Consider the following 25,043-nt stretch of genomic DNA (forward strand, 5'->3'; position numbering starts at 1 on the left):
TGGGGTGGGGGGAGGGGGGAGGGATAGCATTAGGAGATATACCTAATGTAAATGACGAGTTAATGGGTGCAGCACACCAACATGGCACACATATACATATGTAACAAACCTGCACATTGTGCACATGTACCCTAGAACTTGAAGTATAATAAAAATATATATATATAAACAAGAAATAATTGGTTAACTCATTTATTTCTAACCCAGGTTTTGAGGGATGTCTCTAAATCTGTGAAGAATATTTGAAATGGTTTGTGCTAACTCAAGTTTAAGAAAGATTATCCTTAGCAAACTAACAAAGCAACAGAAAACCAAATGCCATTATGCCATTATAAGTGGGAGCTAAATTATGAGAACACATGGACATATAGAGGGGAATGACACACACTAGGGACTATTAAAGGGTGAAGGGTGGGATGAGGGAGGAGATTAGGAAAAATAACGAATAGGTACTGGGCTTAATACCTGGGTGATGAAATAATCTGTACAACAAACCCCCATGAAACAAGATTACCTATGTAACAAATCTGCACATGTACCCCTGAACTTAAAAGTTTAAGAAAGAAAACAAAACAAAACAAAACAATATATTCTTTTCTTTGCTAAACTTCTGATTATTTAGGTTCTATTTTGAAATAAGGTGGGTTTTTCTAACCTATGCGTAATACTTATATCATCTCACAATTCATCATTGCATTTAATAAGCAAGTACATCCTTAGGAAATATAACAACCCAAATAACTTAACTTTCCTAGAGAATGGAAACTTAGACACTTGTGAAAATTCACTTGTAAAAAATTAGTCCTTAGTCCTTGTAGAAACTTGTAGCTGCCTGGCTAATTGCACTTCAGAAAAATAGCTCAAATAAGCAAACAGGCAAATAGAATATAAGTTAAATAAAAAAGAAAAGACATAAAAAATTAGACCAAAAAAAAGAAACAAATAACGATGAGGTAAAGGAAGTAATTATTAAGTTTTCTTGTGAAGTATAAAGCAATAAAAACTACTATAGCTCAACAAGATTACATAACAATTTATCACTGGACAGGACCCTAGGAAATCAAGTCTTTCCTTTGCAAAGATTTAGGAAACTGAGGCCCAAACTTACCCAAGTTCACAACTGGTCTAAGATCAGAAAGCTCCGTTAGTAAAACTTGAAACAGACTGTAAGTTTTCTGACTCTTCGTTGAGTGACCTACTCAATATTTCAATAACAATCAGGTGATAACTACCTCATCTTTGAAGCCACCTCCACCTGTATCTATCCCATCCTCTTTACCCTCTCAACTCTGCTAAAACTGAAGAAGCATTTCTGCTCCTTTTTAAAGCTAAACCTTTTACTCATCTTCTTTCCCATACTACCTCTCAATGTCAAGGATTGTGCGTCTGCAATTGTGCCCTCTCTACAGGATCATTCCTATCAATGAAGAGGTGCTAATGAAGCTGATGCTTGATTCCATGTTCTGTTGCATCTGCAACCCAATTTCTCCACTCCAATTTTCCAATAATTTTTTGAAGAGTAATCTTTAACCTAGAATGCTATCACCACTTCTTTCCGACCATTTCCTTTTGAACCCACACTAGTTAGGTTTTCATCCCCACCACTCCACTGAAACAGCTTTTGTCAAGCTCACCAATGACATTCACCTTCCCAAATCCATCAGCCAAGTTTCTTATTTCTTCTTTTGCACATCTCCTCCCACCATCAGCCAATTTTCTGTCGTACTGGTCCTTAACCTCACAGTAGTGTTTGACATAACCAACCATTCCTTCCCTCCTAAAAACTCTCTTTTCTTACTTGCTTTTCCATAGTGATCTATTTTCCTGGTTTGCTTACTACCTCGCTGGCTGTCTCCTGTCAGTCTCCTTTGTTGAATAATCTGCTTCCTCTTCCTGATCTCTAAATGTTGGAATACACAGGGCAGCACATGTTATCTACACTCTCTCCTTAGGTGATTTCATCTAGACTTCAATTAGCCTGGCTTCCACATTCATATATTCACCTTCCTACTTGACAATTCTATTTGGATATCTAAAAATCATTTCAAATTTACATGTCCAAAACTGAAATCATTACCGTCCCTTTTCCACCTCAACTCTTTCCTATGTTTCTGATCTCATTAAATGGTAAATCCATCCACTAAATTACTCATGACTCAAATCTAAAGATTGTCCTGGATTCCTTCTTCCTACATCTCTCATCCAAACCATCTGTAAAACAAGACACTTTAATCTCCATACTATATTCCAGATCTGACCATTTCTTACTGTCCACAGTGCTACTGGTCTAGTCAAAGTCATGTGAGTCTAGTCCACATCCATGTTTCCTCTGTAGAACTTCTGCAATAACCTCCTGATATTCCACTTTCATCCTTGCTTCACGTCAGTTTTTCACATGACAGTGAGAAAAAGCAACTTAAAACAGAAATCAGACCAGCACTGCTCTCCTGCTTAATATACTTCAATGGTCTCCTATGGCCGTCAGAGTCCTTAACCAGGCCTGCAAACTTATACAAGGTCTAGTCCTTCTGTCTACTTCTGTATCCTTACATCACTCTTCCTCTCAAAATCTCCTTTTTCAGGCAAACTAGCCTTCTTCTGTGCCTTCAACATATAAGATTTTTGCCAACAGCCTTAGTACTTGCTGCACTAATTAGAACTTCACAAAAGTGGTTCCTTCTCTTCTTCCTGTTCTCAGCACAAATGTCACCTTCTCAAAAATGGCTCCCTGACAATTTTCTATTAAAGTGAGCCCAGTCACTCTATCCTATTACTATGCTTTATTTTCTTCACAGACCTTGTTACTACTGGAAATAATCTTACATTTATTGTCTTACTTATCCTAGTAAATATAAGACCCGTGAGACAGAACTCTTGTCTGTTTAGTTCACCATAGTAAACACACCACCCACCATTCATTATTTGTGAAATGAATGATTATAATGTTATTTCAAATAGAATATTAAGTTCCATTTTATAAAATTTTCCTTTTTGTTTTAAAGAAAATATTAAATCTTCCCTCTTTTAAAATAATTGCATAAGAATTACTTAAATCTCTAGAATTCCTGAGAGAGAAAAGTTAGCAAATCAAAAAGTTTTCCTCAGAGTCACTGCCATTGCAAAGCTGAAATATTTTTTTCTAGGTTAATTTTAAATAACTGAGAACCTAATAAGGTTTCAAACAAAAGGAATTTCACCTGCAGTTACAACAGTAATTTCTGACTAATGTAATGTAGACATAATACTATTGAATGAATATAATTATTCTTTTTCTTAAAAGGAAAAAAGTGATCTTAGATTAACAGGACACTGAAGATTTATAGTCCATGTGTAGTTCTGCAACTAATTTAAACCAAGAATCAATCAGTTAACAGTTGTTCGTTGCAGGAGGAGGGGGGAGCGAGGGAGTGAGGGGTACTTGTATGTATCCCATTAGTTCCCTCTCGATGCTAATCAAAGAATTAACTAGATAAAAGCAAAAAAGGAAAATTATAAGCCTTGTGCACAATTTCAATTCCTAAAGAACTGTTTATTTCCTAAAGCTGGCTAAACATGCTACTACAGCAATTAATAGGAAGCTACCAAATCTAATACTTGACATTGTTCATCCAAAAGTAAACTCTCCTTTAAAAAAAAAAAAGTAAAAAGTCCCAAACAGTAAAAATTACACATAACAGGTCAAAAAAAAAAAGAAGATAACCTAAAGATCCTCGAGTGCCAGAAGTTTCTTTTATCTCTGATTACAAATGAATCAGAAAACAAATCTAAGCTGTAGAGTCCATTGTATATAAATATCATAATGATATCTAATTCGTCTGACTCTAAGAAACCATCTTAGTTTTAAGAAAAAAAACTGTAAAATCAACAAACCGTTAATTTCCTGACATATCCCTGTGCTCAGCTTCTTTAGATAAAACATTGCTGACTGGCTACCTTTGCTACCAGCAAAAGAGTTCACAAAACAGACAACTAGGCAAATAAAATGTAAATAAACTTCAGTGAGAAAGATATAAATAAGGACATTTCTCCTCCCCGCAAAAAAGATGAGATAAAAGTAAAAACCATATTGCTACATTTGGTTTTTCTCCTTTGTGGAAGAGGAGCAGTTACACTGTAACTGCTCCTCTTCCACAAAGGAGAAATGAAGTAAAGTGTTCCACTTCTTCTAATAACATGTCCCCACGTATTTATAAGCATTTTCCTTATTATACTACTTATCTACATAATCTTGCTTAAAAATCAAACTATTTTTATTTAAAAATAAAACAAAAAATAAAGTTTGGATTTAAAGTATGATCAAATATGATCAATCAGATCACAGTAAATGCTACATTTGAAATGTAAGACATAATCAGCTTATTTTAAACATTTTAAACAATGGATCAAATTAAAACATCTTAAGTACAGTACATATTCCCAAAGTTTAGTCAGTCAAATGAAAACATCCTAAGATGTTCATTCATTCATTTATTCATTTATAAGACATTTACTGAACACCTATGAAATGTCAGGCGCTAGATTATAGATGGAGCTGAAGATACAAAAATGAGTAAAATACAACTGATCCTTTACCGTTAAGTAATTCCCAACCAAGAGGAAAAAAAAATAATGCGACAGTCTATAAGTACTAATGATAAAAGGAAGCAGAGAAAGCTTAGTAAACTCAGAACTAAGATTAGAGGACAGAGGGAGTTTGAGAAGGTTTCTAGAGGAGATAATGCCTAAATTGAGTCTTACGGTATTAGCAGAGGTTAAGCACAATTATAATTTCATGGATGTGTGTGTTTGAAAAGTGGGGGGGTAAATGAGGTTAGAAAAAGAAGACAGTGAAGTACGACCCTGTCTCAATAAGAGGATGCAGCATTTGCAAAAGTAAAAGGCATTAGATAAGCATGGCATATCACCAAACTGCAAATACTTTACAACTGTGCTGTCCAATACAGTGGCTCCTGAGCACCTCAAATGTAGCTATTCAGAATTGGCATATGCGGCAAGTGTAAAATACATGTGGAATTTTGAAAACTTAGTACATAAAACAGACCATAAAATAGCTCTTCTATAATCTTTCTTACATTGACATATGCTAAAATAATATTCTGGATATATGTGACTTAAAAATACATTAAAATTTCACCTGTATTTTATTGTGTGTCTACTGAAAAAAATGGATATAGCTCACATTCTATTTCAAATGGACAATGCTAGTTTAAAAGGATGGCACTGGCTGGGGAGTAGTGCTAAAGTAATAATAAGTGGGACTGGATCGGGTGGAAGATAATATCACAAGAAGAATCTCTATGTCATTAATAAGTTGGTTGGAAACCAAGGCTCTTCAGTAGGGTTAATATTATCAGATCTGACATTTGCAAGGATCCATCTCCAATCTAAGAATTGGAGGGCAGGAAAGCTGGAGGAAGAATATCAATTGGTCTCGATAATCACTGACAGACAGTGTTTTGAAAGTAGTATAACTAGAGATACAGAGTACGGAACTGATTCCAGAAATGTTTTTCAAGTAAGATAAACTACACTTGGTGACAGATTAAATATGAAGTCTGAGAATAGAGAAGAACTTGAGTAAATTCCAAAGTTTTGGGCTTGCAAAATTAGGAGAATGTGGTATTCAAGCAGGACAGCTTTGGCAGGGAAAGGTGATGGGTTCAATATTGGACATACTGAGTTTGGGATGCCTATGGATAGGAAATTTATGTGGAAATACCAAAAATTAGCTACAAAAGTTTGACAGTAACTCAAAAGTTCCAGATCAGAAATAAAAAATTGGGAGAGTGTTAATAAAACACAAATAGTGTAAGCCAAAGGAGAGGAAGAACACAGCCAAGAACACAGAGTAAAAAATAGAAGACGGAAGACTGAAGACTGGATTATTGGGAAAAACAATAATGAAATATGGTGGGCCGAGGAAGAAGATCCCACAAAGGAGTTGAAGAATGACAGGCAGATGAAGAACCCAAGAGAAGGGTAGCATCTTTATTTAATGGGCTTCCATTGTGTCCTACAGAATTATAGTTCCACAATATGTGTAACGGAAGAGATGTGACTCACAAAAGAAGAAAAATCTCTTTTCCAAAGTCACAAACTACTTTTTGATATTTAAAATGATACTTTGTCAACTTAGAGAATCAAAACAAACTATTATTTCCTATAACTTATTTGGATAAACATACTAGCTAACATGGGAAATCACAAAGTGAAATATTTAAAATGGTAATATAGAATTTAAATGTGGAACAACTGGAAAAAAACATAGATTAAAATAACCATGCAAAAGAAAGAGGGAATGAGTAAAGAACTGGAAACATCGGTTTTACCATTCTAAAACACATATAGCCACTCCCTCTGCCAAAAACTAAATGATGACTTCTGATTGCAAAGATATCTCTAATGCAAGTTCTTAACGTGAAGATAAAGGAGGGGAATAAATATGTATGTGCCCAAGTATACTTTCCAAAGAACAAAGTGAACAAAAAAGGGGTTTATATCAGATGAACTGGACCAGGGCTCTTCACTGTTAAACACTATCCCACGGTCTATCTAACGTAAACATCACGTATCTGAGTACCGACTCCAACTCGAGTATGCCAAAAAGGCACTTTCTTTTTTCTTTTATTTCTAACCATCTTTACTCCTCTCATCCCATCCCTGAAGGATGTATAGAAGTATCACAGCCTGGACAAGTACGGCTTTCCACTCTAACCACAGTTTTAATAATAACACATCTATTATTATCCGAGAGCTACCAAAGCCTCCTTTTCCGTCTTGGCCCTTGGCCCTGCCCCTCCTCTCTAGTCTTGAGTCTCCACGGGCCTCCGGGGTTTTTGTTTTGTTTGTTTTAATAACAACCACTTCTCTAGATCCGCTTGCTCCCTTTCTTCTCTTCTCGGTCCCAGGAAGTAAATACCCTTTCCCAGCTCCTCTCCTCCTAACTTCCCAGTCCCCCCAGTGCCGGTCAACCTCCCTTCCTCGGGACCCTCTCAGAAGCCGAGCTCTTTACTCATTTTCCTAGGTCTTCCTTCTCCTCGCGGTCCCTACATCCTCCCCCATCCCTAATCCCTTCATCTTCCCTGCTTTAAGAACCACCCGCAGGCCCCCATCCACGAACGCCCCTTCACTAGCTACCAGACGCTTCAACCCAGCCTCACCTCGCACCTCCACCTCCCCCGCCGTCTCCACGCCCACTTCAAAGCCCACCTCCAACCCGCAGGCTCTTCAGCAGAGCCGATGCGGCGTCCCGCCTCCTTGCCTTCCCTCTTAGGACCAAACTCCCAGCTGGGGCCTCGGCGTCTGACCGCCAAAGAGCGGGTGCCTGGTTCCTGCGGAGGCTGCCGGGCGGGTGCCGAGGTTGCCGAGATGCGGGAGGTTTGAACACAAGGATGGGACAGAGGCGAGGATCGGGGCTCCTGGGTGGCAGCGGCGGTAACCTGGGCTCCAGGGTAACGGAGGCGGAGGCCTAGACTGCACTACGAAGAGACCGCAGCCAATCATGATGACTCTACCCGAGCTCCCATTGGCTTCTGTCTCCAGACGGCCCTTTTTATTGGCTTCAGTGGAACTGGAAGGCGGGACGGCGAGTGCGGGAGAAGGTCTCCATTGGCCGACCGCTCTAGCTGTAGCGGAGACCCCCAAGTAGGGAAATTGGGGCAAAACGCGGAGCGCTCCAGGCTCCTACGGGCTGTGCGGTGCCAGGGCTCGACTGCTGAGCGTCGTGGGCTCCGAGAGGGACGCGGGCGGAGGGCAAAGTGGGTTCATGATATGAATTGTAAAATTGGCGACTGCGTAATGTAAAACACTTAACAATTGCTTAGATTTCCTTTGGGAAATAACTTGCTTTTAAATTGTAAACAAATTACAAACAAACTGCTAGTGCTTCTGGATCTTCTTACCGAAATGGCTGATTCAGGAGGATGCGGGGTGAGTGCACTATTGTTCCTGCCTCGAGATCCTGGCTGTGAATCACCAACGAGCCGTGAGTTTGGCTTGAAAGTGATTTTTAGGTTTTGGAACGGGTTTGGGGTGGAATGGCATCTGAAATATTTGCACACAAGTTTTTTTTTTTTTTTTTTTTTTTTTTTTTTTTTTTTAAGGAACGTTTTGAGGAGCATGTCAGCCTATTGAGCGCTGATGTGTGACATATTTTCTCTTTTAGAAATGGCATTAATTGCGGGAGACAGGGAAGGTAAAAAAAAATCCTCTTTCGTGAGGGCTTTAAACTGCTCCGAGCCATCTGATTATCAAGGTGGTTTAACACTACTCTGGTGTTCTCACTATTGTTAATTTCTCACTGGCCTTTTTACCACCATTCTGTAGAGAATCTAATATTTGAAGGCAAATGCGTTTAATGAATCTTCTAACCATGAAGATTGGTAATTCCTGCTTCTCGCTCAACCTCGTTTTTCCACCTTTGCACTGTTTCAAAGCTTTCATTTTATCCTGTCAATACATTTTACTTCAAGTTACAGACTAACCCACCCAAACAATATTGTGATTAAATGTAATTTTCTGTATGCGAAATACATCTGTACAAGATGGCAGTCATCTGTTAGTGAAAATAAGATGAGTAATCCCTAAATTGCACGGAATTACTTTTCATCAATTCTTTAATCTGTCTCTGCTGACACTGTTAAAATAGCTCACTCGTTATTATGGACTCTGTTAGAATTAACATGTAAATGTATGGGTGGATTACTTATAAAGGAAGTTGCTAGGAAGAATCAGAAAACATACCGTATTTACGTGGACAAATGTCTGTCACAGGAGCGTCAGATCAGGATTGCTGAAGGAGAGCTGAGAATGAAACCACCATTTATTCAGCACTCAGAATGCTCCAGGCAGTGTAATCTCATTCCATCTTCATTCATGACTCCAGACAGGTATTGTTATTCATTGTTTATACTTGAGAAAGCAGATTCAGAGAAGTTAAAGTATCTACCACAAGGTACGAAAGTAGTAAGTAGTAATGCCAGAGTACAAGCCTAGGTCTGCTTCCAAATTTCGTGGTTTCGGATTTAGTGCCTTCATTGTGTTTCACCTACAGGTTAAGAAGTTGTTGGTAAGCAAGAAAATATTTAAGACGCTGGGAGAATCCAAAAAATTGTCTAGTTGTGTGTAACATAGTCTCAGGATTCTTACAGTGTGCAATTTTATTCACCCCCTCATATTCAAAATAACAGTATCAGTTTGACCTTGAAAAAAGACCAAAAAATGTATAAATTTACAGAAGTAAAAACTAGTTTATTGAATTACCATTTTAAAAGGTTACCCCAAAATATGAGAAAGCAGTTTTAAAAGTTTTATGACATTACATGGTTTTATATATTATTTTTGATAGGGCTAGAATTTTCTAAGATACCATTTGACATTTTATTTCAGTACCACACAGGATTCTGCTTTTCAGAAATAAAGGAAACAAAGTTATCAAAACCACATTTATATTTCTGCCACTTGAAATTATAGTTAACAGAAATCAGACTCTTGTTTTTAAAGATTTTGTTTATGAAACAAATTCTGCAATGGTCATTAAGCACTTTGGAGTTTTATTTTTAATATCCTGGGCTTCTTCCATTGATACTGCAATATCTCCAGATTTGCTACATTGCTAACTGAATGTTCATTTTCTGTAGGACTTTGATTGGCTTCTTTATTGCCATATGGCAATGATGTAGATGTTATAATGTAACTAAAATATTCCTACAAATGCTTACTAGTAGGATTATTCTCATTTTCCTTTGGGGAAACTAGTGTCGAGTTTGAATGGTTGGTTAGAAGTTTCAAAAAAGTAATAGGTAGATAAATAGACTCTCTAACTGTAGACAGAGAAATTACAATGACCATAATTTGTAAAGTGGGGGGACATACTATATATAGTATCTTGGAAAGCACATAAGTATAATTATCCTTAGCTAAAGTTCAGTCATCTATTTCATACCATTCTACAAAAGAAGAAAAGCAGTGTCACAATTTTATATAATTTACAGAAATGTGATACATAACAAAAATTCAAAAATTTTTTCTCTAACTTCTTGATCTCATGTTGCTTGGAAATTTTAAATTTATTAATAGATTCTAGGTAAATAGTTGGTTTTAGCATATAACACTAAATTTGAAACAGTATCTAATATGCTGCATGTTTAAGAGAAATCGAATGGATTGGTTGAGTTGGGTGTAAAGAACAGTATAATTGGCCGGGTGCTGTGGCTCATGCCTGTAATCCCAGCACTTTGGGAGGCCAAGGTGGGTGGATCACGAGGTCAGGAGATCAAGACCATCCTGGCTAACACAGTAAAACCCTGTCTCTAATAAAAATACAAAAAAATGAGCTGGGCGTGGTGGCGGGTGCCTGTAGTCCCAGCTACTCGGGAGGCTGAGGCAGGAGAATGGCATGAACCCGGGAGGCGGAGGTTGCAGTGAGCCGAGATCGCGCCACTGCACTCCAGCCTGGGCAACAGAGCAAGATTCCGTCTCAAAAATAAATAAATAAATAAATAAAATAAATAAATAGTATAATTTCATACCTAGAAAGTGGGCTGCTCTGATGAAAACAAATGTAGTCTAATCTGATTGCTATGAATACTTGATTTTGCAGTACAAAAAGCTAGTAGCCTTTGATTATTGCTCTGTTTAAAGGATACAGTTTCTGATCACTTGATGAAATGTACGAGTTTTTTTTTGTTAATGGAGAAAGAAAACTTGAGATGTTTGTAAAAATGTGTATATACTTACAACATAATGCTGGTCATCGATAGAATGAACTACTGATTAACACGGATTAATTTTAAAGACAATATTGAGCAAAAGAAGTCAGACACAAAAGAATATATTCTGTATACTTCCATTAATAAGTGATTCAAAAACAGGCAAAATTCATCTAAACTGGAAAAAATTAGAACAGTTATTGACTGTGGGGATGGAGGTAGGATCAAGTGGAAGGGACTGAAAGTTATTTTTGGAGTGATGTGAATATGCTGTTTTGACTGACGTGGTAGTTAAAGAGAGTTTCCAGCCGGGCATGGTGGCTCATGCCTGTAATCCCAGCACTTTGGTAGGCCGAAGTGGGCAGATCACTTGAGGTGAGGAGTTTGAGACCAGTCTGGCCAACATGGTGAGACCCCCATTTCTACTAAAAATACAAAATTAGCCAGACGTGGTGGTGTGTGCCTGCAGTCCCAGCTTCACGTGAGGCTGAGGCAGGAGAATTGCTTGAACCTGGGAGGCAAAGGTTGCAGTGAGCTGAGATCACACCACTGCACTCCAGCCTGGGCGGCAGAGTGAGACTCAGTCTCAAAAAAAAAGAAGTTTCCTTTATCAAAATTCATTAAAATATATAAAATATGTGTGCTTTTCACTGTATGTAAATTTTACCTCAATTTCTGAATGGCTTAAAAAAAAAGAATGCATTGGTTTGTATAACAGAAAAATCTAGTAGACCTAGCTCCACGTATGGTTGGATCCAAGTGCTCAATGTTATTAAAATTTTTTCTTCTCTTTGTCTCTTGGATGTACTTTTCTACGTGTTGGTCTTATTTAAGGCAGGCTTTCCCTTCCAGGTATGGCCACCAGTGCTCCAGATTTACATTCTATTTACCTCACAACCCCAGTGGAAAAAGAATATCTCTTTCCTGATTGGTCCAGCAGAAATCTTGGTATTAACTCTGACTGCCCACACTTGAATATGAACTATTAGTAAGTACTGTGGCCAAGAGTTTGCTTCGGGAAAGAATATGATAAAGTCACCTTATCTTTCATGTTTGCTCAGAATAGTGAGGTGATTCTCCACAGGAAAACTGGAATGCTGTTACTAGAAGAAGAAATACTGGACAAAGCTAATAGATGTCCCCAAAAGTGATGATAATAATTTTATTCAAATAGGTTCATAGATCAGTCTGGTGGGCTTGTTTTCACATTTTATTTAAGAAAAACTCTTGTAATTACAAGTTCCCCAGTCTGTAAATACAGATGAGATTAACCAAATTTTGTTATTTTTTGACTGCCTCTGCTTTATAGCACCCCTCCCCTCCAAAGACTTCCCCACCAATAATTTCTGGGACTTCCTAGAGAGTGTCTCATACTTACAAACATACCTGCCTCTACTGGTCATCCCACTAGGCAAGATACCAGGACCACTGCTCTGCCAGGCAACAGTCTATCCCTCTTCTCTCCAGGACCCAGCAACTTCTGCTGGTGGCCATCATGAAGTCACTGAGTACCACCACTTACACCAGTGCCAGAGTTGAACTGGAATTGTGCCAGTTATATGCCTTTTGTTTCTCAGATCCTAGCCTGCCTTTTCTATATCCTACTTTTTTTTTTTTTCCGAGACAGGGTTTCACTCTTGTTGCCCAGGCTGGAGTGCAATGGTGCGATCTCAGCTCACTGCAATGCAACCTCTGCCTCCTGGGTTCAAGCAATTCTGCCTCAGCCTCCTAGATAGTTGGGATTACAGGCATGCACCACCACACCCAGCTAATTTTGTATTATTAGTAAATATAGGGTTTCACCAGGTTGATCAGGCTGGTCTCAAACTCTTGACCTCAGGTGATCCACCCGCCTTGGCCTCCCAAAGTGCTGGGATTACAGGCGTGAGCCACCACACCTGGCCTCTATATTCTACTTTAAGGTTCAGGAGCTAGGACTCAACAAACTGCATTTCCCAGACACCCTTGCTAGTTGGCTTATCGGTAGGTTCTGCCAAAATGGGGCATTTAGGGAGAGGTTGGAAGGTGGGAGTTAGGGAGAAGTTCCTTCTCAATGTCTCTGTTCCTGTCAGGCAACAATTGGCTCTAGTCTAATGTGTCTTTTCCTCACTGAATATAAATGAGTAGACTGAATGAATGTGCTTGTTATTTTGTTTGCAACCTACACTATTACTTTATCTCCTCCCTCTCCTCCCACCCCGCAAAACCATATAAACAACAGCAAAAGAAAAAAATCCTCCACAAAACTTCTTACCATCTTACAGAGAACAGCTAACAGTTGGTGACCACACAAGAATTAAAATGTGTTGAAGTATGGTCTTATATTTGCCTGGCACTCTACAGAGTACTTTCATGAAGATGACCTCATGATCTTAAACAACTCTGAGAAATGGAATATAGATGAGGAAACTGACCCTGAGGATAAATCAGATTTGTCTAATAGAAATAGAATGTGAACCACCCACTTAATTTTAGATTTTCTAGTAGTCATGTTAAAATAAGTTTTTAAAAAGTAAAATTAGTTTTATTTAATATTTAATATCCAAATTATTTCAACTTGCAATCAATATTTTAAAGTTATCGATGAGATATTTCACCTTTTTTTGTACTAACATTTTGACACCTAGTATATATTTTGCAGTTACAACACATTTCATTTCAGGCCAGCTACATTTCAAGTACTCAGTAGTCACATGCAGGTTGTAGCTAACCTATTGGACAACACAGGATTAGATTATTTACCCAGAGGTATATAATAGAAAGTAATGGTCCCAGGTAGCCAGCTTCCAAAAAGGAAAATATTGCTGGTCTGGAAACCCAGAGACCTTAATTCCATACATGGCTCTGCCTCTTACTAGTTGTGAAATACAGGATAAGGCATTCTTTTTTAAAGCTTGGTTTCTGGATTTGTTAAATGGCATCAATCAGTTGTCTTTAATCCCCCACCCACTTCCTGCAGCAGAACCCTTTCTCAAGTAAAATCTTATATGGAAACCCCATATTAAAAACAGAAGCATATTTAAAACATAGGAACTGTCTCTCTGTTGAAGGAGAGGAGCCTCCAACAAACACTTCGAGTACTCTACAGACATCAGTATATTGGTGTTTGATTCACATTTTTAGTTTCATAGAATCATCAGTTATTTATAAATATAAGAGGGCCTTTAAGATCAATTATTCAAGTTGTCTTCTTATGTTATTTTTTCCTTACTAAGGCACTCTTCTTTTCTAACAGAACCTTTTAAAGAAATATAAAACAAGATATGGTAGTTAAAATCAGAATTGCCCTGCACAGTTGAAGTGGTTATGAGGAATTAGAACCCTAACAACTCAGCATCTCTCAAATACCATCTTCCATAAGTGGCCCCCAAGAATCCTCTTTCAAACTACCCTGCAGGGGATAGAATACAGTCATGGGTTCTCAGTTCCTGTTTCTGGTTGGGCCAATAAAGCCCCTTCCTCATCCCTCTTTTCTGTCTAACACTAGAGACAGAAATTAAAAACCATGGCTTTTCAGGCTGCTAAAAGCCTAAAACAAAACAGAACAACAACAACAACAAAATCAAGCGGGTTGGACAGGCTTACATCTAGAGCAAGCCAATGGAGTTTTAACAACCAAAGATTAAGCTCAGCTCCAACCCTTCATCAGATAAGGAAACTGAGTCCCAGTGAGGTGCTTAAAAAATCCCACCCCAAGCTGGTGTCAGAGCTGGAATAGAGCCTAATCACTGCTGTGCTGGAGCCAGCTGGTACTAGCTTGCAAAAGCCAATTGTTACATTTTCAGAAATTTTGCAAGCCAATTGATGTCACCCTGGTAGCTCAAAATCAACCACGGTGAAAATATTTACACCACAGAAACCAGCAAATGCTACAAATCATAGCTTCCCCAGAGCCACTGGTTAAACCTTTACCAGCACACCTCCAAATCCAGCATTCCTGTCTGGATCTTTATGTTCTACCCAGCAACCGAGAATAGATGTGCTGCATTTTGATAAGAAACAAAAATTTTAGTTAGTAAAAATCAAAAATAAACCAAAATAGAAATTGTGTCTCTTCATGAGTAACAACACCTAAAATAGCAATTTTTCTCAATATTTACCATTTCCTGTTGTGTAGCAGATACTGGTTCCTTTGATTCTTTAAGTTGTTATTTGGAGTATTCAGCTACTTTAGGGATGATTTTTAACATTACATGAGCCAGGCAAGTAAATGTCTAAAACATTACTTTTAAATGTTTAAACTTTTAAATGTTTTTAATTATTTAAAATTAAAGCCCAAGTATAAAATAAGGAGAAAACAGAAGAAGCTACAGAAACTACTGCTTGAGTAGCAACTGATCTGATGCAGTGTCTCGGTCTCCCTCTAGTTCTATTTCTGGCTAGGAAGGGTATTGAAAGGTCAATGTAAACAAATGCTGAAGTCGTCAAGCTTCTCAGCTGGCCTCATGTCTCCCTGTATTTAATCTTCCCAACTGAACTTCTGACTCATCATCTTAACAATGACCTGTTTCCCTTTGAGAGTTCCTCCCCTTCTCTGGCCGCTTTTCTTTTCGTCCTTTGTGGCGCTGATGCAGCTCCCCTGCAGGCCTGTTTGGGCATGCTTGTGATGTCAGATGCCCGTACTTCAGCTGTCCTTTTGTATCCATGGTGACGGATGAAAAATAAGCTGCTTTTCAGTGATTTGAACTTTAATCCAGTCAAATGATGCATGCTTTATTACTCAGGTGACTTTTCCCAGTACTTTCAGATCACTGAAATCTTGAATTATTAAAGAGGAATTAACATATTTATGTTTTTATCCTTTCTTTAACCATTATTATACCTTGGTAAATTCAAATAATCTGATCTTAGCACCTGAAAATTTTGTCTTCATAATTATAGGAAAATCGTTTCAGAAATGAGATTCCAACAGAAAAGAAACTAAAAGATGTCGTTTACAATTCCCTCTCACTACATGTATATAAGTAACTATTAGGCTAAGTAAAGCATGGAGGACCTGCATAATACTAGGGAAAACGATGAAAACTGTAAAACATTGACAAAGTTGTGTCATCCAAAACGCTGGCCACTTAATACTAGTGGTACTTGAAATTATTAAATAACATTGACTTCAAATCTTTCTGTATTCAGGAAAGAGAAAAGCTAAGCCTGATGGTAGTCTTAGCACCTTGCTAACGTGCTGTCATTGTTTTTTTAAACAACAACAACAAAGGGCAGACTTTTTGCATACAACCTTGGTAAGCAATAGCTTCTAGTTAAAATGTTTCCATTTTCTCAATTTTCATATAAACTTCTGTTTATGAATAACACTGACTTTCCAGGGATGTAAAATTTCCTTACATTTAAAAAAAAATACATAATCAATAGTACAAGTGAAACAAGTGGAGTTGAAATCATGATATCTGGACCAAGCAACAGGGAAGGAAGAACAGGGTAGCAATTTCACGTGTCTTGGTCTAATCCCTAACACCAAAATTATTGGGACTAGAAGCCAGGTAGACCCTAACATTATGACACTATGATGTTACCCAAGATATTGAGGAAAATCATAATATTTGGATGAATTAACAACTTTTTTTTCCAGATAATACAAATAGGGGGGTAAAAATGATTAAGCTTGAAAGTTTCTTCAGTCTTGTTTCTCCCACTTCCTGCTTAGTGGGGTTTTTCCTGCTGCCTCAGAATCGTGGCTACTGCCCAAAGCTGAGAACATTCTCTAAAGAGCCATAAATAATTAGGAGTCAAAACCTCCCACCAGGGCTTATTAAAAAGTGCATAACCAACCTTACTGCCAGCAACCATCACCCTAGGAAACTCCTCTCTTCACTTTTACTTCACCGTAAGAGAGGTCTGTGTATGGAAAGAAGGGAAGAAACCATATTTGGCTTCTTGGAGAGGGTTTTCGTTCTCCCAAGGAGAGAGTGGATGGGGCTAAGAGTAGGAAGTACAAGAAAATAATTCATAGAAATTCATAGGGTGCTTTGAAGAAGAGGAGATTGGCATCTCCCTTCCTGAGGCCTGCTAAGTAGCAACTCTTTTTTTTTTTTTTCTCGAGATGAAGTCTTCTTCTGTCACCAGGCTGGAGTGCAATTATCTCAGCTCACTGTAACCTCCGCCTGGGTTCACTGCCTCAGCCTCCCAAGTAGCTGGGATTACAGATGCGCGCCACCATGCCCGGCTAATTTTTTTGTATTTTTAGTAGAGACGGGGTTTCACCATGTTGGCCAGGCTGGTCTCGAACTCCTGACCTCATGATCCGCCTGCCTCAGCCTCCCAAAGTGCTGGGACCACAGGCGTGAGCCACTGGGCCTGGCCTAAGTTGAAACTCTTTTGTAACTTTGTGTTGCCATTGGAATAAAGCATTTGAGACAGTTCTTGGGAGAGTTTCCCGTTGTTCATGAGGCATCCGTAGAGACTATTCTCTGTTTCTAGTCTAGAAATTTCTGAAGATGGGAGTAGGAAAACCACTGTCACTAAGGCTTAAAGACATAGTATGCCTGAGAAGAGGATAAGAACCAGACTGTCCACAGTCTGGTTCTCTATGACCTTAAAGGACATGGCAAGGACCACTGAGGTTTTGTGGTTCCATGAGTTAGAGGAGAAGCAGAGGAGCATGATCCACCCCAAGGAGCTGCTGGGTAGTAAAGAGCACAACCCAGAGATGAAGCTGGGAGGTACACTACTGGTAGACCTGAGGGAAGCCTTTCTTTTCCTCACAGTGACAGAGGGGTGCTGGGTAAAGCTGAGCATTGCCCAAGGTCACCCACCACACTTGACCTGTCTGGAGGCCACATGAAGCCTTGATGCGCTGGCATCTGACCTGAACATGCTGAACTGGAGTGAGGCCCGTGTTGCCTCCCTACCCCTGACCCAAGGGCCATCGCGTAAGAAGCTGGATCCATTCCCTCTCCCTCCGCCAGAGACTGCTCCCCAACATTAGTCCGTTCTGGCTTCTACTGTGTGGCGGAAGGAAAAGAGGTTGAATCAGAAATGAGATTGAAGTTTTAAACTGGACTATACTTCAAAAACTGAAAGTAATCAGAATATTATAGAATGTGTCCAAAATGTTTCAATGATGAGACTCTGGAGTTCCCCTATGCATAGTTGAAAGCAGTGATTAGAAAAAAAAATGTAATTTTTGTTAATACCCTACTAAGCTGAGACTACTCAATTAACATATAGAGTCCAACTATATACATAATAATAATTACTATTTTTTGAGACAGAGTCTCACCCTGTTGCCCAGGCTGGAGTGCAGGGGCACAATCACAGCTCACTGCAGCCTTAACTTCCTAGGCTCAAGCAGTCCTCCCACCCCAGTGTCTCAAATAGCTGGGACCAGGTGTGCACCACCACACCTGGCTAATTTTTTGTTTTAATTTTTTGTAGAGATGAGGTCTCACTATGTTGCCTAGGCTGGCCTCAAACTCTTAAGCTCAAGCTATCCTCCTGCTTCAGCCTCCCAAAGTGCTGGGATTATAAGCCTGAGCCACCACTCCCAGCCATACGTAATTTTGTATCATGAGTTTTCACTTACTAATTACACAACAATTTTATCATCTTAAAAAAAACTTCATAAGTATCATTTATAGTAGGTTTATATTTCCATTATATATATGCCAAATTTTTAAATCTTTATTATATTGTAGCACACATGTTATTTTTAAACTTTAAGATTTAAAGTATTTGTTCCCTTAAATGTGATTATTATTTTCATTATTAAACATCGACTGATCTTTGGACAAAGAGATTCTGACTACTTAGTTTTTCAGTAGAAAACAGTTTGAGGTATTGCTCAGCCAGCGGGAGTTTTGATTATGTGTGTTTACTATGCTGGCAGCACTACATGTTTTATCCTTCTAGTGTTCGCCAATTTGTTCAGAGCTGAGGGCTGTAGTACTACAGGAAATAACATGTCCTTGCCTTCTAGAATGTAGGTACCACAAGGACGGGAATTCTTTTCTTTTTCATTCTCTACCATATGTCTAGCACCTAGAACAGGGCCCAACGCTGGATAGGCACTAAATAAATACCTTTTAAATATAAATAAATGAAGGTAGTATAAACTAGGAGTGGGACATAATTACTCCTCATCGTCAGCTTTTGCACAGTAATTTATGGAAACCACATAAGTAGATGGTTAGAGCAAGTCTGGATCTAATAGGAGGAACAATGAAAAATGGCAGGGCCTATAGAAGACAGAGATGAAGGGAATGAGGGGGTTTCAGTTCCCTGGCATCAGAGCTAATATCAATATGATCTTATGACTTTGTTCTTATTAAGATATAAATTAATTAATCCAATGAATAAGATATCAAGCTCATAACAAAATGGCTGAAACCAAGCAATGGCCATATAGAGGAAATTATTCGTAGTGTCACCAATGGTAAACTGAACAGTTTCTAATCCTCTGTTTCCCAAAGTCTCCGTGAAATAACAGAAATGCCATGAAATAAATAAAAAGCATTTGTAAAGATTAAAAACACACATTAAGGATGAGGGGCATGGAATGAAGACAGCAGTTCACCAAAAGTTCAAGGAAATTCTGGAAAATACAAACTAAATAAAATCAGACTAAGGGAGCAAACCAAGAAATAAAAACTACAGCCCAAAATTTCATAGGTAAGAGGAATCTTTTTCAAAAGAGGCCCAGAGAAATTCCAAGTTCAGAGGCAACATTTGCAAAGGCCAGTTCAAGATGAGGCTATCATCAATGTAAACATATAATGATGTTTTGGTCAATGGACCACATACTCACCAGTGGTCCCATAAGATTATAATGGAGGTGTACCATTTTTTATCTTTTATACCATATTTTTACTCTACGTGTTCTATGTTTAGATATGTTTAGATACACAAATGCTTACCACTGTGTTACAATTGCCTACAGTATTCAGTATAGTAACATGCTGTACAAGTTGGTAGCCTAGGAGCAATAGGCTATACCATATAGCCGAGGTGTGTAGTAGGGTTAAACAGATGCTCCAAGCAAGCCTAACAACTCTTTTTAAAATAACAAAAATCAGGGAGGAGGAAGCTGGGGAATACCTATAAGTATCCTAATCTCCTCATCTTTTATAACAGTGAGTTAATAGATACTGTCTAAAATTAGTAAGTTAAAAAATAAAATTGAAATATATTATTTTAGATTAATGAGTAACCACCACAAACAAATAAGAATTCTTTAAAAACATTCAGTGGGCTACTGACAAAAATGATTATCTGTAGGGGTAAGGAGAGTTTTACACAGACACGTTTGTGTCATTTCAATTTTTTGTTTTAATATTTCTTTGATTAAAAACAAATTTTTAAATGCACAGTAAAAGAAAAACATGAGGAAATACGCTAAAATCTTAATAGTGATTTTTTTGATTAGTAAGAATTATGGACCAAAAAAATGTTTCTTGTTTTTCTACAGTTCTGCATTTTCCAAGTTCTCTATCTCAAATACTTCCATGGTAAGAAAAAAATAGTTATTAACAAAATGTCATGACCGTGGGTTTGCTGTTAAGTTTCATAAATATAAATAAATAATTTGAAGTAATATTTAGATGAAAGGAGGAGAATTAAAGAAGCCAAGAGGAAAGGCTGGACTTTTGCAGCTACTGGTAACAGGAAAAGGTAGAAGCTGGAACTGAAGGAAGGAAACTGGAACCCATATCAGAAAGGAATAAATTCTGACTGTCTACTGCAATGGAAAGTTTGACCAGCCATGGAGTTTACTAAGCCACTCCTGGATTTTTCCCTAAGGTAATCCTCTGCTTAGGTAGATATATCTGTATAATGAGAGCTTCAGATCCTTTTTTCCTCTTATTTATCACAACCAGATAAAAATCTGACCACCACAGAGATTAAAACGAAAAGAAGAAAAAGATCACTGCTTCCTGGTTTTGACCTCACCAATCATGTCTGCCACCAACTAGACATGATCTTATAGAGTTAGCTTCATGATCACCTGACTACTATTCCTACTTGGTCAAGGAATCAAGGTATTGAGTACTTACGTCTACAGGATGATCACCAAGTATGGTGTGGTTAGTGCAGAGTATGATCAGAAAGTAATAGCCGTCATAGGAGATGCCTTTGCACAGCAGCCTTGGTGGCCGAACTATTAGTGTCCCCAGCAAACCTGTCTCACTTGTATTTCAGTGTCATGATCATGGTATCTGTCTGTCCCCAGCAAACCTGTCTCATTTGTACTTCAGTCTCGTAATCATGGTATCTGTCTCTGTGCCTTTATTTTCATACTTTTCTACCAATGCCCCAGGAAAACTATATTTTCTCACAAAACCAGCGAAGATTTTCTACAAAAGTCAGTGGTCAAGCGTGCAATGTTAGTTGAACATCAAAAGAGCAGTGTGCCAGTCTACTATGGGGAAAGCTAAATAAAAGAAAAGAAAAGAAAGAAATATCCACCATTTCAAGGATCCCAGGTGAAGGCCACTTTCTTGCAATGTTTCCAAGATTTGAAAGAGTTAGTTTTGAAGGACATTTTGTTACATTTTGAAGGAATATTTCTAATACCCCAATGGGCTTTTTCCATTACAAGCTGCAAGGACGTTCTAAACAATGTAAAAGTTCTATTGAATTATAAAACCTCACTCCCAAATTATTTAATATATAAAGAGCAGTAGACAGTATTGCAATATTCAGGGAGCCATGGCTGACTTTGCAGTGGGCTGTCTAAAAGTCATCTGGGATCTTTTTGGTCAAGACTTCACTTCTTAAAGTGAGGTCCACAAACAAGAAGTATCATCAATGCTGTGAATCACTCAGAATATCAGAAAAATTTTTTAAAATAACATAATTTTTATAATTTTAGAAAAGGAGAGGAGGAGACTATTTCTTATAAAGAGTTACAGCCTGCAACGTGGCCCTCCTGCAGGCTAGGAGATATGCCTCCAGCCAAGACCAGAAACAGGCACATTGAAGGAGGAGGGGTTGGGGTAGGAGCTTTATGCTAAACAGTTTGGCTAAACATACATACTCAACTGGTTACAGGAGGAGCTATGAATATTCATGAAGGTGGTCCTAAAGAATTGAACAAACACACGTGTAACATACCACCCATGTTCACTTTGTGGTGGAGACTTAACACTTAAATATATTAGAATTAAGCCCTATATGTAAAAATGCCTTTTCAGGCCAAGCATGGTGGTTCATGGCTTAAATCCCAGCACTTTGGGAGGCCAAGGTGGGTGGATCACCTGAGGTCAGGAGTTTGAGACCAGCCTGGCCAACATGGAGAAACCCTGTCTCTACGAAAAATACCAAAAATTAGCCGGGTGTGGTGGTGGGCACCTGTATTCTTGGATGCCTGGGAAGCTGAGGCACAAAATCGCTTGAACCCAGGAGTTGGAAGTTGCAGTGAGCTGAGATTGTGCCACTTTACTCCAGCCTGGGTGACAGAGTGATACTCTGCCTCAAAAAAACAAAAGTATTTTCAGGACAAAGGCATGTGAGTGTGCAGTCTCTGTAACCTGGCAGGAGCCAGTCCATGGTCAGTGGTCCTCTTATGAGGAGAAAGTTACTGGAATCAGTCTCTTGTCCAGTCAAAGCTGTAGTTACGGCTGGTGGAACAGGGTTCCCGTTCATGTCTGTGAACTGGGTGAGCTGTGATCATTTTAACATTGCTTATCTTTAGGTCAGTGCTTGTTTAGTTGTTGAATAAAAAGAAAAACCTTGTGGCAGTTAGAACACAGTTTGTTATTTAAGTTTAGGGGAGTGTGACTTAACCCTTGACTGGCATGGCCTTTGGTCCTGTTTATAATCTGGGATCTTATTGCCAACAAGATTCTGTTCTGTAAGTCTTATGATCTCTATTTTAACATTGATCTTGGTCAGTTTTTGTGTCTACTCAACTGGTTACATTTGAGTTACCACAAAAGAGGGAGGGTATAATGAGGTGTGTCTGACCTCCCATCCTGTCCTGGCCAGGAACTCAGTTTTAAGGTTCTTCTGGGATCCCCTTGGACACAAGGGGTCCATTCAGTCAGTGAGGGGGCTTAGGACTTTATTTTTAGTTTACAGATCCCAATCCAGACCTACAGAATAAGAATCTTCATTCCAGGTGATTTGTATGCACAGTAAAGTTTAAAAAGCATTGGTTTAGGAGAATCCAAGATTCCTTTGGGAAAGTTCTCAGATGTCAAAATAGGGGCTCTGCATATTATGAATTTCACAATTAACTTCTCAGCATACTATACTGGTTATTTGGTATTCATGTTAAGTTAGATGGTTCTCATCATGCTAAACAGTGCTTCAGATTGCAGTTACTCTAAGCATAAGACCCTATGTCCTAGGGTTTGGAACCAACTCCTTCATTGCTTTGGTGAATTAGACCCTTTTAATTGTGATTGCAGTAGATTAGAAAGGAGTCCATCTCCCAAAGAGTATTCAAGTTTTAGAATGGAAGCTGCTTTTCAGTCATCACTGGAATTTTCCTACGAGAATCACTTACATAATCTACACAACCAAATGCAGAAAGAAAACACAGGGTGAGTTAAGGAACAAAGTTAACATTTCATCTGCTTGGCCTCTGAGCTTGTACCTGCCAGTCCCAATGTTACTCGGATCAAAAATGTAGGATGTTAAGGAAAATGGTGTTTGTATGTTTTGTTAGTAAGAATTAATATGGAAATAATTTGCAAAGACTGGATTCCAGTGAACTTCTTCAAAATCACAAAAGCTCAGCTTTAGGCAAGATACACACATGTTCAGATAACTGGATATAGAAGAAAGAGTTCATCATCTCAATAAAAATAATCCATACTTGTGGCTCCAATTAAGAAACACAAAACTTTAGTGTACATTTTGGTTTCACTTTGTTTCTTTGTTTTTTACCACTTGCATGAACAAGTAAATGATGCAGAAAAACAAGAAGGGTGATTCTTGCAGCCCTAATGAACAGACACCATCAGAACACCAAAGAGAGGCGACTTAATTTTGTGAGACAGAGCCATTTTCCTCCTTTCTGTGAAGTATCTCTGATAATGTACAGTTTTATGAGGAAATTATATGGTCTGGGCCAGGTGTGGTGGCTCACGCCTGTAATCCTAGCACTTGGGGAGGCTAAGGTGGGTGGATCACTTGAGGTCAGTAGTTCAAAACCAGCCTGGCCAACATGGTGAAACCCCGTCTCTACAAAAAATACAAAAAATTAGCGTGGTGGCACATGCCTGTAATCCCAGCTACTCTGGAGACTGAGGCAGGAGAATCGCTTGAACCCGGGAGGCAGAGGTTGCAGTGAGCCGAGATTGTGCCACTGCACTCCAGCCTGGGTGACAGGGCGAGACTCTGTCTCAAAAAAAAAAAAAGAAAAGAAAAGAGAAAGAAAATTATATGGTCTGACCCCATTTTTTAAGGACTCTTCCTCCTGAAGAAATACTACAGTATTATTCATAAGCTATCATCTGTGTCACCATCTATTTCTTAATGATCACTTTTTAAAATTATGTAGTCAGTCGAGCCATGTTGAGAAATTTCAGCTCAAAATATAATTCTCAATGGCCTTTGAAGAGCAGTGGCTTGTCTTTCCCTCTTATTTTTCCTGTTGTGACCACAGTAGGTGTATTAATACCATATCATTATGATGGTTATCTAATGCGTTTAAAAAAATTAAGTAGGAATTTCTAGAAGTTATTTTTATATAAGAAATTCCAGGGGGTAGGGGTGACATAATTTCCAAATCACAAAGTTTTTGCTAAGGGACATAATGTATGCAAAAATATTAATAAGCCTTTCTAAGCTTCTCTTGACAAATCTACTAACAGTCATTTGAGGGTTCTTGTTGCTGGAGTATTCTTTGAAATTCAATAGAGGATTTATTGAGGAGTCTGCAATAGGGAGTAAAGAATGCTGATTTGAAATTTGTAATTCAAATGTACTTTCCTCTAAATCCTAAAATCCAGTCAATTGGAATGTAAGTTAAAAATATAAAATTCAATAGCTTTCATATTGCAGTTCAGTATTGTTAAGAGTACAATACCAAACTGCATTTTTGATCAGACTTTAAGAGCACAGACTTTGAAGTCAGGGGTCAGAGACCTGGGTCTGTCACTTAGAAGTTGAAAATTGGTACGAGTTACTTAAAGTCCCTAGGTTTTAGTTCCCCTATTTGTAAAATGGAAAATATAATGATTACTTCCTCAGTTAGTTTTGAAAATTAAACTAGATAATTTCTTAATAAACCCCACAGCCAATGAATGTGGATATTATTATATTATCATTATATACTTGGCAATATTATTATATGCACAAATATTATTATTACAGATATTCTTATTTATATCTGGCAATATCTAGCTAGATAATGTAAAATAAAAGATATTTTCT

General features: G+C 38.3%; 2 protein-coding genes across 9 annotated transcripts in view, besides 5 other annotated features; one reads left to right on the forward strand and one right to left on the reverse strand.

The window, feature by feature from the left end:
- The window catches only part of LCA5 (lebercilin LCA5), a 53,792-nt gene extending 44,965 nt beyond the window's left edge, over positions 1–8,827 (reverse strand). For 2 of the 5 annotated variants that reach the window (NM_001122769.3, XM_011535504.2), the window contains exon 1: positions 7,210–7,475. The gene's annotated coding sequence lies outside the window, so the exon portion shown is untranslated. Of the gene's footprint in view, positions 1–7,160; positions 7,476–8,742 lie in introns of those variants that run through there. The other 3 variants (XM_005248665.5, NM_181714.4, XM_047418251.1) reach the window with 2 other exon arrangements.
- Positions 7,371–7,944: an enhancer, noted in NCBI's record as "H3K27ac hESC enhancer chr6:80247043-80247616 (GRCh37/hg19 assembly coordinates)". NCBI's record gives its function as "activates a minimal SCP1, AML or CMV promoter by ChIP-STARR-seq in naive H9 embryonic stem cells {active_cell/tissue: H9 hESC(naive)}" and the evidence as "EXISTENCE:reporter gene assay evidence [ECO:0000049][PMID:30033119]".
- The window catches only part of SH3BGRL2 (SH3 domain binding glutamate rich protein like 2), a 166,023-nt gene continuing 148,657 nt past the window's right edge, over positions 7,678–25,043 (forward strand). For all 4 annotated transcript variants that reach the window (NR_171675.1, XM_047419391.1, XM_047419392.1 and 1 more), the window contains exons 1-2: positions 7,678–7,929; positions 8,773–8,888. Coding sequence is in view for 1 of the 4 variants with exons in the window: in XM_047419390.1 (XP_047275346.1) it covers positions 7,906–7,929; positions 8,773–8,888 (140 nt within the window). In the remaining 3 variants the exon portion in view is untranslated. The remainder of the gene's footprint in view (positions 7,930–8,772; positions 8,889–25,043) is intronic.
- Positions 7,939–7,988: an enhancer, noted in NCBI's record as "active region_24769". NCBI's record gives its function as "activates an Ori minimal core promoter by ATAC-STARR-seq in GM12878 lymphoblastoid cells {active_cell/tissue: GM12878}" and the evidence as "EXISTENCE:reporter gene assay evidence [ECO:0000049][PMID:35858748]".
- Positions 8,519–9,092: an enhancer, noted in NCBI's record as "NANOG-H3K27ac hESC enhancer chr6:80248191-80248764 (GRCh37/hg19 assembly coordinates)". NCBI's record gives its function as "activates a minimal SCP1, AML or CMV promoter by ChIP-STARR-seq in naive H9 embryonic stem cells {active_cell/tissue: H9 hESC(naive)}" and the evidence as "EXISTENCE:reporter gene assay evidence [ECO:0000049][PMID:30033119]".
- Positions 14,683–15,445: an enhancer, noted in NCBI's record as "OCT4-NANOG-H3K27ac hESC enhancer chr6:80254355-80255117 (GRCh37/hg19 assembly coordinates)". NCBI's record gives its function as "activates a minimal SCP1, AML or CMV promoter by ChIP-STARR-seq in naive H9 embryonic stem cells {active_cell/tissue: H9 hESC(naive)}" and the evidence as "EXISTENCE:reporter gene assay evidence [ECO:0000049][PMID:30033119]".
- Positions 15,139–15,418: an enhancer, noted in NCBI's record as "active region_24770". NCBI's record gives its function as "activates an Ori minimal core promoter by ATAC-STARR-seq in GM12878 lymphoblastoid cells {active_cell/tissue: GM12878}" and the evidence as "EXISTENCE:reporter gene assay evidence [ECO:0000049][PMID:35858748]".

Source organism: Homo sapiens, chromosome 6 (genome assembly GCF_000001405.40).
Source record: "Homo sapiens chromosome 6, GRCh38.p14 Primary Assembly".
In the NCBI taxonomy this organism is placed as follows: domain Eukaryota; kingdom Metazoa; phylum Chordata; class Mammalia; order Primates; family Hominidae; genus Homo; species Homo sapiens.